Here is a 14,683-nt window from a genome sequence, read left to right on the forward strand (position 1 = left end):
AGGCACTTGACCCCTGCCCTGACCCCTTGCAGGCTGGAACTAGGCACTGCCCTGCCTCCTCTCTATCCCAGCAACCACAGAACTTCATGCGAGCTGTCCAGCGCTGAGCTTGTCATATGCATTCTTGCATTCAGTTAGCCTGGGAGTCCTGCAAGGTGGATGGGTGCTCTTAATGGTGCCATTTTATAGACACAGAAGCTGAAGCTCAGGGACAAGAAGAAGTTGGGCCCAGTTCAGAAAGCTGGTAAGTGGCAAGGCCAGGATTTGAATTCAGGTCTGGCTGACCCCAGAGCCTATGCTTCCCTCACACTCCAGTCCCCAACCAGAAGGCTGGCCAGAAATGGAGGGGCAGGACCCCCCGCCAAGGAAGCTGCCTGGTGTCAGGTGGCATTTCTAAGGTGAGGTACAAAAGTGGCATCCTGGAGGTTTGCCAAAAGGTGACTTCTGAGGGGTACAAAAAGTAAATTTTCTCTTTTCTTCCATATGTAGGCATATAAGGAAACATAGAGACTTTACACACCAAACTTCCTAGGTATTCCTGCTAGAGTATGGTCTATATGTTTTTAAACCTATAGATTTAAATGTATGATTTAAATAAAAAGATGAAGAAAATAAAGGTACAGATGACCTATAAGTAAAGCAAAAAACCAAAAACCAAACAAAACCAACTGTAAATACTGGTCTGTGAGAGACAGGTGTAAACCTTTAATCAGAATCTTTGGGTTTGAGTTATTTTATGAGCTGTATGGCCTTAGTAAGATTCTTCAGCTCTGAGACTCAGCTCCCTCATCTGTAGAATGGGAAGGGTCATTGTAAAGATGCAAAGGAGATCTTTGCATCTTCACCGTAGATGCTGTGCCAAGCTCTGTTTAGATCCATAGGGAAGTGGGTCAGGGAGACCCCTGGTAAAGTGTTTCTTGCTGCAACTCTCAGGCAGGCAGTGGGAAAGGCATTTTTGAATGAGAAAGACCGTGGAAGGGCTAGGTTTGGAACTGGGAGTTCTCTGGGCTGGATTCTGCTCAGGACCTACACCAGACTGGGCCTCCCAAGTAACATGATACACATCTGTTTAATTGGACATGAGTCTTAATGGCCAAAATTACCTGTAACATTAGCTTCTTTCACAGCTGTGCCCTCTGCTGGGGTTGGTGCCAGTTCCGAAGCCAGGCCCTGATGGGGTAGACTGTCAGCGGGCCCGAGAGCTCAGCACAGTGACTTGGACAGGGGGCGAGGTACAAGGGCTGGGAACTCACACATTGGTGCCATGACCTCTCAACTTGCTTTTCCCAGGATGGTCCTAGCCCCTTGTCTCAGCCACTCCAATTTCTCCCTGAAGAAGACTTCTCTGGTTAAAAATGTTGGAAAAAGCTTCATTTTCCTGAAATCACCTCAGGTCCTGGAAGGCAGGGCCTCTGCCCTCATTCCTATTATAACCCCCAACCACAGAGGTGGTGAGGAGCAACCAGGGGGACCACTCAGCATCTCCTAGGGTTTATGGTGACTGGGGGGACAGGAGGCATGAGATGAATTTTGAGGACGTCGTGACCACCATTGGGGGTGTGTTTTTACCTCAAATGATCTTCTCTTCATTGAATGACATAAGAAAATAAAAATGGCCAAAAGAAAGTAAGAAAGAAGAGATAAATGAGACCCACCAGTTATCAGGGAAATGCAAATTAAAATAAAAATTACAATTAGGGAATGGAGGGTGGGAGGAGGGAGAGAAGCAGGAAAAGTAACTAGTGGATCCCAGGCCGAAAACCTGGATGATGAATAAACTGTGCACATGTTTACCTATGTAACAAACCTGCACATCCTGCACATGTACTCCTGAACTTAAAAGTTCAAAAAAAATTACATACCTATGTTCACCCATAAGATTACAAATATTTTAAAGTTTAATCATTTCGATATTGTGTAATGTGGGAAAATGGACATTTTTTTTTCCAGTGGAAGTATGATGTGAGAACATTTGGCAGTATTTACAAAAATTAATAATGTGTATGGGGATCCTCCTTGACCCAGCAATTCCACCTCCAGGTATCACTATCTACCCCCAGGAAAGTCCTTGTACATGAACCAAGGACTCTTGGCACAAAGATGTTCATGGCAGCATTGTTTAGCCAGCAATTGGAAGCAACCTAACTTTTTCTCCAAAGTTCAAAAATGCACAGTCCTGTGGTAGCCATCACCTCCTCCAGGTTGATTTCATGTCCCCAGTCCCCTGTGGTCAACATGAACTTTCAGTGATGACTAAGGGATAGAACTCAATGCACAGACTTGGAAATCTCTCTAAGACTTACCATTTGGTGAAAATAATCAATACACAGAAAGATCCAGAATGAAATAAACTACGTAAGAGCAACAACACACAACATACAATCAAAACTATAGAACAAACCCAAAGCAATATAATGTATTCCTAAAAGTACATAGATACATAAAAGTCTATAGAAAAAGGACAGGAAGGGAACCCTCCAAATGATAGTAGTTACCTCTGGCATAGGGTGTGAGACTGGGGGAGGTGGTTAAGAAGATATTGAGCTTTATATCAACTGAAAATAATTTTTACAAATGAACGTAATCTTGTGCTATTTATGAAATTAAAAGTGAATTTACTGACAGAATTGGAGGAAGGATATGTGGAGGTGTGTTATTTTCTGTCAACTTGTGTATTTGTCCACATTCTCTATGAGAAAAATTTAAAATTAAAAAAATACAATTGATATTATAAAAGTCATTATCTCACTGAGATATGGCTCCTTCTGAGAGGTTCATTTGATGTGCCCAGCTCTTCCCTAAGGTGAACTTGGCTGACTTTGGCCCTCTGTATCATGGACAGAGACTGGTGGTCTCATTCACTGAATAAATAAATGAATAGATGGATAGATGGATGGTTCCAGTGAAGCAAAGCAAGATCTTGTCCCTTGATGACCCATTTCTGGTATTTCTGGAGGCTTCAGGGTGTGCCGTGACCTCTTTGGGCCCAGTAGAAAATGTGGCTCACATTCTTCTTCAGGACTAGAGAGGTGGGTATCTTGGAGTGGTGGGTATTTCTGACAGAGAAAAAAACTTTGCCAACACATAGCAGAAAAAAGGAAACATGTTTCATATGACTTGAACAATAAAAATTACCATTTGTACAGTCTGCAAAATGTTAAGAATATGGAATGTATCCTGCTCCCAACCCCATCTGCAACATGAGATTCCTGGATAGCAGCCCAAGCTGTTCCTTCATCAGGGCTCTGGGCTAAGTCCTGGCATGCAGAAGTGTTTTCAGGGATGGTTACTAGACGACTCAACAGGCTGAGCGAAGGGACTTGATGTGAAGAGTCCCGGAGAGGATCCATGTGTGTAAAATCCACCCTGGGGCAGGACTAGGATCCCATCCACATTCTCTTCCCATAGATAACTCCAGGGCAGCTATATTAACTGATAAGGTTGAACGTGATAATTAAAAATGTATTTGCCGTTCCTGCCTGATGGTATCAGTGAGAATCACCTTTCTCAACATCCAGTGTTTGAAAATGAAAATGGCAGGCCGGGCGCGGTGGCTAACGCCTGTAATCCCAGCACTTTGGGAGGCCGAGACGGGTGGATCACGAGGTCAGGAGATCAAGACCATCCTGGCTAACACGGTGAAATCCCGTCTCTACTAAAAATACAAAAAAAATTAGCCGGGCGTGGTGGCGGGCGCCTGTAGTCCCAGCTACACGGGAGGCTGAGGCAGGAGAATGGCGTGAACCCGGGAGGCGGAGCTTGCAGTGAGCCGAGATCACGCCACTGCACTCCAGCCTGGGCGACAGAGGGAGACTCCGTCGCAAAAAAGAAAGAAAGAAAAAAATAAAGAAAAGAAAATGAAAATGGGAGGAAGACGGGAAGGGTGTGTGTAGTTGTCTATGTGTGTCAGGGTGGTGATGGAGGCATGAGGTTGGAGAAGAGAGAAGTAGGGGACAGATGCAGAAAGAGGAATACAGGGCGCTGAAGGCACATTTTGGGTGCAAGCAGAAGGCACACATGTTCAATTATAAATCAGTCAGTTGTAGGGGCTACAAGAGAGACAGAGGTTCTTGCTGAGTATTCAGTCTTGGAGTCTCTGAAGTATCAGTTTGTAGGGAGATGCAAATGTCCTCAGAACACCCCTCCAGTATCTACAGAAATCTCTTTGTCTTCAGCCCCTTTGTGATTGTCGCATGTTCTAAACGTTTCAACACACCTGAGTAAGACAATTCAAATCAATTGCAAACTGAAATCACCAGTCTTGCCAAAGATGCAGGGTTTCATGAAGCAGATGAAAGCGATATTGCAGGACTACTTGGAATAGTTCACAAAGCCAGTGTTCAAAGAAGACCTGGCCATGGTAGAGTGTTGGCAAATGAAAAAGAGAAAAATCATCAGGGATAATGACACAGTAACTGCATGAGAAGAGGATGGGTTGAACGTCAAGGTATTGAGAGTTTCTTGAGAAAATGAATGAAACTCTTTGATAGGTTCACGAAATGATCTTTCTAAGTAATCCCGCTACCAAAGCCAAACATCAAACTGTCATATTGATTTATCACATAATTTTATAGGAATTATAAACAAAGGCCAGTTATTATTCCTTGTTAGTTCCAAAATTAGCACATAGTTGTGGTGGTAACTTAAATATGCTTAAAAATCAGATAAATGTATTTTGAAGTAATTTTCTATTCATTTATCAAGTTGAAATCTTAAGTCAAACCCTTTTTCGCTATTAACATGATATTTTGTTCATAACTTGTTTATTTTTTTATTTATTTTTGAGATGCAGTCTTGCTCTGTCATCCAGGCTGGAGTGTAGTGGCATGATCTTGGCTCATTGCAACCTCTGCCTCCTGGGTTCAAGTGATCCTCTCGCCTCAGCCTCCCAAGTAGCTGGGATTGCAAGAATGCACCACCACACCTGGCTAATTATTATTATTATTATTATTTTTTTTTAATAGAGATGGGGCTTCACCATGTTGGCCAGGCTGGTCTTAAACTCCTGACCTTAAGTGATTCACCTGCCTTGGCCTCCCAGTGTTAGGATTACAGGCGTGAGCCACCATGCTTGGCCTCTAATCATTTTGTTCATAATTTTAAAAAATAACCTGGAATTTTACCTAGTTTTAGCTTTGTGATTTTAAATGGAGGCACAGGTAGCACATTTCTGCTGTTTCAGTGCCTAACCCCATCCATGGAGGAAGAATCAAGGAAGGTATCTTGGGGAACTGATATTTGAACAAGCCTGGACACAGGAGGAGAAGTTTGCCCATCAATGGACAAGACGAGGGAGAGGCAGGACTGACAGAGGGTGTAGCATGGGACTGCACAGGAGCCTGAACGAGCGAGGTGCATCTGGGGGGCAGTCATGAGCCTGGCATTGCGGCATTATTGAGTACAAATGACAAATGGCAGAGCAAGTTGTAGAAATCGACTGGAGACAGATCACAGAAGCCCCTGGGGGCCATTGTGAGAGGTTCAGACTTCCTCGTGGGGAGAGTTTACAGCAGAGAAATGACAAGATCAGGGTCAGCTTTTAGAACCATCCCTCCAGGAGGCGCGGGGAAGCCTGGTGTGATAGTCTGGAGCTCCCCAGTGGTGAGGCGGCAACACTGTGCGACACTCACCCTGCTCAGTCCAGCAGTAACTCACCTAAACCTCACTGCAACCCTAGGAGGAACAGAGAGAGGTTAAGGAACTTGCCCAAGGTCACACAGCTAGCCAGTTACAGAGCTGGGCTTCAGACTCAGGCTCGAGTCCTCGACCAGCACATCATGTGGCCCTTGTTTTGCCCTATCTGCATGCTACAAGCTGCCTGTCTTAACTTTTCAAAATGTAAATGAACTTACTTCTTTTTTTTTTTTTTTTTTTTCCTGAGGTGGAATCTCACTCTGTCACCCAGGCTGGAGTGCAGTGGCACGATGTTGGGTCACTGCAACCTCTACCCCCTGGGTTCAAGCAATTCTCCTGCCTCAGCCCCCCTAGTAGCTGGGACTACAAGCCAGCTAATTTTTGTATTTTTAGTAGAGATGGGGTTTTGCCATGTTGGCCAGGCTGGTCTCAAACTCCTGACCTCAGGGGATCTGCCCGCCTCGGCCTCCATGCCCGGCGCAATGAACTTACTTCTTTATTTAGATATGTTTACTTGAAAAGATAGCTTTATATTACTACTATAAAATGAAAAAGCAACTTATTTTCTTCCTTTTTTTTTTTTTTTGAGACAGAGTCTCACTCTGTCACCCAGGCTGGAGTGCATTGGCACAATCTCAGCCCACTGCAGCCTCGACCTCCTGGGCTCAAGCAATCCTTTCACCTCAGCCTCCTGAGTAACTGGGACCACAGGCATGCACCATGACATTGAACTAATTAAAAACATTTTTTTTTTTGTAGTGATAAGACCTCCCTACATTGCCCAGGCTGGTCTCAAACTCCTGTGCTCAAATGATCTATCTATCTCAACCTCCCAAAGTGCTGAGATTACAGGCATGAGCCACGATGCACCACCCCAATTTATTTTCTATTATCCATTAAAATAAACATCTAAGTATAATATTAAAATAAAACATTTGCCCATGCTGGAGACTGAGAGAGGTGAAGGTGGGAACTAAGGTGGTGGTAGCTGCCAGATAAGAGGGGACACTCTGGATACCCATTTAGGGGGGTTTGGCAAGAGGGCGATGTAGTTGCTGGCTGGCATGTGGCAATGGCCTCCTCAGAATGTCTTGAGGCCTGCATGATTAGTGACACAGTTCACACACCTGGGTGCAGGCTGTGGGCATCACAAGGGGGCCCACTGTGCACATTCAAGTTAAAATTCTAAATAAAGTGCTTTGAGAGTTAGGTTACACCTGAGCTAGTGGGGCAGGGTGGGGCAGAGGACTTGGTCACTGACTTCCTGGACATGATAGAAAGGGCTATGGCTCAGGAAGCATGCAATTAACATCATGGGGACGTGGAAATTCCCAGCGAGTACAGCAGAAGAGCAGAGAGAAGACTGGGAGGGGGCTGTCTACTGGGCCCCTGTGCACAATCCCAACTCAGCCTGAAGCTGGAGCCCTGAGATCATAAGGAAGGTGACATCAGGGCTATATCCGCGGTGGCGCTGGACAGGAGGGTGGAGCACTTGTTACTTGACTGCTTTTCAGCACTGAACCAAGGAAACAGGATCTGTGGCATTGGCTCTGCCAACTCTGCTCCCACGGCACCGGCCTTTTTCCATTTCCCCTTAGCCTATCCTGGCTCCAGGTTAAGCAAGGCCCCTCTCCCCTCCTGTTGTCTTTTGTTTCCGTGGCGGAAAATTTGAAAGCCCAGCGTATTGCATTTCTTTTCAGCACACCGATAAGGCAGAGGAAACATCTGCGACTGGGGACAAAATGTGTGAAAAATGGGGGTGGGGTGGGGGGGCAGAAGTTTTCTGTCTTAAAAAACGTTTTATCTCCTCGCTGGACACCTCCTTTATTAAAATGAAATTGATAGGTTGAAATGTTCACGTGAACACAGAGGAGACAGAAGGTTTAAATCCAAGAGGAGGGAATTCAAAATGAATAAAAAGGAAATCCTGGAAACGCACACTTCCAGGACTCAATGCAGACACATTCGTCTCGGTTTCCTACGCTTCTCTTGGCCATCAGCTCAGAGAAGTCTACCACCTGTGATACACGCCTCAGATTTATGATCGGTTTCCAGGGACCAGCCGAACAGCCTCGCTGCCTGCCTCTTCATAAATCAGGCACTGAAAGCAGTTCAGATGCGAATTTGACAGAAGAGGCCCACGTCTCAGAGAAAGCAAGCTCTTGAGCCCCCAAGTCTGGCCATTTGCCCTTTTGCCTAATCCCAAAGAGGGAGAAGACCTGGTGGAGGATACGATGTGGTGTTTTCTGGAATTAGACCAGGAGTCAGAGACAGCTGCATTTTGCGGCATCTTTCCACCTTGCCCACCATTCCCTGTTTGCTGCCGTTCAGGTCCTGGGTGCTGCGAGTGAATCCAAAGGACCACGCTGGGCAAAACGGCTCATGCCTGTAATCCCAGCACTTTGGGAGGTCAGGGTTGGAGGATCACTTGAGCCCGGGAGTTTGAGAGAAGCCTGGGCAACATAGTGAGACCCTGTCTATTAAAAAATTTATAAAATTAGCCAAGCATAATGATGCACAACTGTAGTCCCAGCTACTTGGGAGGTGGAGGTAGGAGGATCTCTGGAGCCCAGGAGTTTGAGGCTGTGGATTGCACTACTGCACTCCAGTGTGGGTGACAAAACAAGACCCTGTCTCAAAAAAGAAAAAAAAAAAAAAGCAAAAGACCAGTAACCAAATGGTGCCAGGGTATTAGATGGGCAGGAGCTGCCAGCATGGTGCCAGGCTGTTAGATGGGTAGGAGCTGCCAGCTTCAAGAGGGGAAAAGCCTTGCTTCAAAATAGCCACAGTACACTCTGTAAGTGGGCCATTTATTGTTTGATGTGTTAGAAGTTTCGTCAAACCTCTGGGCATATTTATACAATTAGAGCAGCCAGCAAAAGAAAATAGCACAGTGACAAATTGGGCTCGTGGACTCTGATTAACTTGTTAAGCTAAATAAATTGCATAGGAAATGTGCCCCGTTTGAATTTATGAAATTGCTTCTCATCTAGATAGATGACTGCTGGGCCAGTCTGGGGCAGGCAGCTGGTACACACTCCGGTCGGAATTAGGTGCAAGTCCAGAAGGAGAGGGGAAACCATCCCCCTACTGCAAACAACATGACAAATGCCCTTTACAGTAGCAAGGCAGGGCTGCTGTTTTGTCCAAAGCGTGTAGTGTTGATTTGCTGCAATATTGTCAACTCCTGTTAGGGCAGAACCCAGGCAGCAAGCTGACGCCTGTCACCCAGTATTTGCTAGTTCTTGGTTTTTAAGAACAAGACAAGTAGCAGAAGTATAAGAGGACATCAGGGTTTTAGTTAAAAACCCTACAGGATCCAGCATGCATCTTGTACATCGTCAGCCATTGAGGATCTAGGAGGGTGGCCCCTGTGCCTTGCAGTGTTGAATTCTGTCCAATCCTAACAAATAGAAGCAATCATTTGTCAAGTACTTACTCTGTGCTGAGACAGAGGCTGAAGGCTTTTAAGTCAATTATCTGATTAAGTCCTCACAATGGCCCTAATATTATTCCCATTTTCCAGATGAGAACAGAGAGGGGATCATGGAAGTGTGCAGGGGAGCCAGAAAGAGGCAGCACCAGGATTTGAACCCAGGTGAGCCCGGTTCCAGGTTCTGCAATGTTAACCTCACGTGGTGCTGCCTGCATCAGGGACTCCCAGGGGATCCCTGAGCCTTGTTGGGTCTGAAACATCATTCTGACTCACCAAAGAGGTTGATTCTATTCCCTCCAGCTTGCATGTTATTTTATGATAGTGCATTATTTGAAAATTGATATGTACAGGGATTGATTGCCCCTTCATCTGGCCCAACCCAGAAAACTGGATTAATCCATTCATCTTATGCCTTGACCATTCCAATGCTTAAGGGGAGATGGTATTTACAGCATGTCAACACCACCAGTAATAGCGACGGCTACACCTGCAGCACTCATGCTATTTATGTGGCCCCGTTTGAAGTATTTGCCTGTATCAACTCATTTAATCTTATCATCGATCCTAGGAGATAGGAACTTCTTTTCAAAAAGCCCATTTTTCAGATGAGGAAACAAAAGCACTGGAGGTTAAATAAATTCTGAAGGTCACACCATGGCATGGGGACCCACATAGCCAGAGACTGGAGTCCACGTCCTGACAACTGTGGATGTGAGTGAGGCCATGGAAGTCCTGTGTTCCCCCCAACAGGAACTGTCCTGTGTGTGAGCCACCGCGCCTGGCCTGAGGTCATCATTTTCCTTGGTGATCTAGGACTTTAGCAGGTTGTTCATTCACTAACTCATCCACTCATTCAGCCCGTGTGGAGCAGGCACTCTGCAATGCACCGGGACACGGCAATGAATAGAACAGATGCAGCCTCTCAGGAGCAAATGATCCAGGCGACAAGGAGGCAGTTACAGCAGCACGTCAACAAGGGCAAAATGTGTTCATCTTCCGTGAGAACTGGCGAGGAGAGCAACCCAGTGCTTTGGGAGCCTGTAGGGCAAAAATCCCTGGTCAGCAAAGTCAGAAAAGGCTTCCCCAGGAAGGAGACACTGGGGCTGAGACCTGAAGCATGAGAAGAGCTCACCAGACAAGGGAGCGACAGGAAGAGAACATTCCCAGCAAAGGGAACCGCAAGTGCAAAGGATCCGTGGCAGAAGAGAGCATCGCAGACATGAGGGACTGAAGAGGCGTGAAGACTTGAGGGGTGGCTGGAGGACAGAGTTAGGGGTGGGTCTGGAGAGGTCCGCTTTGACCACACTAGGCTGGGCCATGTTGACAATGCCAGCACCATGTAAAGTGATGGACTTTATCCCAAAAGCAATGGGAAACCATTACATGATTTTAAGCATGTGGGGGTGGGGCGGTGACCTACCCATTTGTGTTTGGCAAAGATCACAGCGGCCTAACCTCCTTTTTTCAGGGCAGAATTTCAAGTAAGGGCTGGATGTTTCCAACACAGAAACTCAAGAGGCTAAGACTCTGGGTGTTACAATCTGGCACGGAGCCTAGGAGAAGACCCAAGGGCAAAAGGAGTGAATGAGCCAAGCAATGTGGGGAAAACCTCGACTTTTAGGCACAAAAGCTAACATGGGGGAATGTTTAGTGTGTGGTCACCAGCATCACACTCCGTTGTCTTTGGACCAGGTTTTGCTCTCCTGCAATAACAGAAGTTTATCCTCATGACCCCAGGGCTAGCCAGAAAAGATAAAATTATAGTAAGCATTATTTGTTTTAGAAAATACAATACTGGGCCGGGCGCGGTGGCTCATGCCTGTAATCCCAGCACTTTGGGAGGCTGAGGTGGGTGAATCATGAGGTCAGGAGACCGAGACCATCCTGGCCAACATGGTAAAATGCCGTCTCTAGTAAAAATACAAAAATTAGCTTGGCGTGGTGGCGCGCACCTGTAGTCTCAGCTACTCGGGAGGCTGAAGCAGGAGAATGGCTTGAACCCGGGAGGTGGAGGCTGCAGTGAGCTGAGATCATGCCACTGCACTAAAGTCTGGGGGCAGAGCAAGACTCCATCTCAAAAAACAAAAAAAAAGAAAAGAAAATACAATACTGAACAACAGAGTACATTGCAGGTGTATTGCCAGACAAAATGGTTAAGATAAAAAAGAAATTGGTGCAAAGAAGGAATACATCCCATAGCCTCTAATCACATGGCCCCTGAGCCTGCCAGATAGCCAAGTCTGACTGTATGACAAACATCTTAATAACTGATGAGATTTTCAGCTGGCTAAAGAAAGTGAGATGCCCCCGTGACACTGGCTGAAAACTGTGGCAGTGGCTTTGGAATTGAAGAATGGATAGAAACAGGAAGAATTTTAAGGCGCATGAGGGAAAAAACGCTAGATTGTCTCAATCAGGCTGTTGGCAGAAGTAATAGACATTCAAGGTACTTCTGAGAGGGCTCAGAAGAAGACACACACACAGAGATGAGGAGGTGAAGATGGAGGCAGAAACGGGAGCGATGCCGTCACAAGCCAAGGAACGCTGGCAGCCACCAGAGCTGGAGGAGCAAGAGAGGGAAAGCCTCCCCTGGAGTGTGGCCCTGCAGACACCATAATTTCAGTCTGGGGATACTAATTTTGGACTTCTGGTTTACCAAATTGTAAGAGAAGAAATTTCTGTCATTTCTAAGCCACAAAGTTTCTGGTAGTTTCCAGTAGCCTCAGGAAACAAATCCATTCTGAGCATCATTTCCTTCCTATGCCACAAACACCCACAATCTCGCGTGGCTGATGTGTTCTCTTTTTAAAAAACATTATTTATTTATTTATATTTACTTTTTTGTTATTTTTTTAGAGACAGGGTCTCACTCTGTTGTCCAGGCTGGAGTGCAGTGGTACAATTATAGCTCACTGCAGCCTCTAACTCCTGGACTCAAGTGATCCTCCTGCCTCAGCCTCTTGAGTAGCTGGGACTACTGGCATGAGCCGCCATGCCTGGCTAATTTTTACTATTTTTTGTAGATACAGGGTCTCTCTATGTTGCCCAGGCTGGCCTCGAACTTCTGGCCTCAAGCGAGATTCCCACCTCTGCCTCCCAAAGTGCTAGGATTATAGGCAAGAGCCATGGAGCCTGGCTGGCTGATGCAGTCTCATACTCCAGGGCTCAGACTAAATGACACCTCCTCAGAGTGGCCTCACAGACTTCCCTAACCAGAGCAGGTTAACTCCTGTCAACCTCGATTGCAGTATTGAGTTAAACCTAAATTCTTTCTTTAGTTTGTGTACTTGTATTTTGTCTGCCTTCCCCCACTAGAGTAGGAGCTGCAGGTGGTCAGGGACTGTGGTATTCTGCTCCCTGCTGCGCCCCCAGCACCTAGCAAGCAGACTGGAGGACAGCGAACACTCCATGAATGTTTGTTGATTGAATAACTGGCCTTTCACAATATTCTGAAGGTCATTTGAGAGTTTGACCAGTATTAATAAGACCAAGTCCTCTAGCTTGCCTTGATCAACAGGTGTTGATGGCTATTTAAATTCTTATTTTGGATCTTTAGTGTGCCCTAGTCAGTGAGGCTGTTTAATATTCAGTCACTCATTCACTCATTCAATAAATATTTATTTATTTGGGGCTTATGATGTGTGCGGCAGTCTGCTGATGATTCCTAATTGGGCTATTTTTTCCCCTGTTGAATTTCAATTGAGTAAGAATAAAGCAATTGCAGCATTTTTCAAGGCAAAACAAGCCATATAACAACCACAGACCACAAGCAACAAAACAATCTTTCATGAGGCTAATTAGTCCTAAGCCTTAAAAAAATAATAATTGCCAAATTCTGGAGTGGTCTTTGAAGGCTTTTTGAGCTGAATAGTAATCAGGAAACTACAGCTTCACGAAGCAAGCTCTCAGACAAAAACAAGCCACTCTAGAGTTGTGTACTTTTCGTGCCTCTGATTTAGTTGAATTTCCTTCTGATAAGGAAATTTTAAGGACATTGATGGGCAAGGCAAGCACATTTATTGCACACATGAATTCTTTCAACAGACTTCATGATACACAGCCAGTCTCATAATCAGAAGTATTTCTCTCTGTTTAAAACCCAGAAGGGTAGCTGACATCTTTTATCAAAAAGACAGACAATTCTTATCCCCTGACAATTCCAGATTATGGATCTCAGGAGGCTCTCCTTACACTGGTATTTTATCACTGGAATCAGAGAGACTGCTGTTTATTTTCTAAACCTCTGCATAGTTTTCAAGGTGTTGCCAGCAGGGCCTGGGCTGACAGTGACACGTGTTATTGTCACATTGCTAGATCTGAAAGAAAACAGAAGATAAATAAATATCAGTGTTTTCTTGGATCTCTTTTTTTTGCTATTGTGGGCACCGGAGGCACTGGTATTTGTTAATTCACATATCTGCTCTGTTTGATGAGGCCATTTTCCCTTTCATCTAATGGGGCACGGGGGGAGGGGGAGCACAGGCTGACCGACTGGTATGGACTAGGACAGCCAGTTCATCCAATTCCTAGTCTGTGTGAGGGACGGAGTGTGGAACTCTGGATAAAAAGTTCTATGGAGGATGCAGATTCTGGCTGCAGAATCTTGTTCACCAATTACTGGGGCCAGAAACCTAAGACCCATCTTGACTCCCTCATTCCTTCACACTCTGTATCTAATCCTTCAGCATGTCTGTCACCTCTACCTTCAAAATATGTCCTGTACAGGCCCTCGTCTCACCATCTGTACTGTCTCCAGCCAAGTCTAAGCCTCAAACATCTCTTGCTATCAAATCTACGTTGGATTCCTGCAACGGCCTCCAAATTGGGTTCATCTCCAAATGTGGTTTGTCTTCTGCACAGCAGACAGAGTGATCTTTCTGAAACTCAAATCCAATCACATCCCTCCCTGGCTTTAAGAAAAAGATTTCTGTTCCAACCAGAATAAAATACAAACTACTTAGAGAACTTTCCAGGCCCTGCATGATCAGGCCTTCCCTTAACCTCTCACCTCTGGCCTATTCTGCTCCTCAAACCTATGAACTCAGGGCCTTTGTACATGCTGTTCCTTCAGCTTGGAAAACTCAACTCACTCCACCCTTCTCCCTGTGATCCCTGTCTTTTCAAGGCCGCTTTTGATTCTTCATTATTGTTTAGGTCTCAGCTTCAGAATCTTCAGGGAGACCCTTGCTGATATAACCACATATACAACATTTCTTTGTATCAAATTATTCTTGTTGATCATTCTTCTAGCTCTTACTAGGAAGTGAAATTAGCTGATCTATTGTTTGCATGCCTGTTTTTCTGTCTCCCTCTGAGTACAAACTTCATGAAGGGAAGGAGCAGGCCTGTCTTTCCTTTTCTACCTCTGGGGATGCAGAGCCTAAGACAGTGTCAGGCCTACAGTAGCTATTTGACAATGGCCATTTGTTGACAGAATGACTCAAAACCTCCTTTGTCCACGGAGCACCTTCTGTACTAGCAGTTTACACTATCATTATAACAACAACGATTACACTTGACATTTGTTCTGCTCCTAGGTGTTTGCCCAAGAGAGGTGAAAGCATATGTCGACACAAAGACACATGCAGATATTCACAGCAATATTATTTATAA

Source organism: Homo sapiens, chromosome 16 (genome assembly GCF_000001405.40).
Source record: "Homo sapiens chromosome 16, GRCh38.p14 Primary Assembly".
In the NCBI taxonomy this organism is placed as follows: domain Eukaryota; kingdom Metazoa; phylum Chordata; class Mammalia; order Primates; family Hominidae; genus Homo; species Homo sapiens.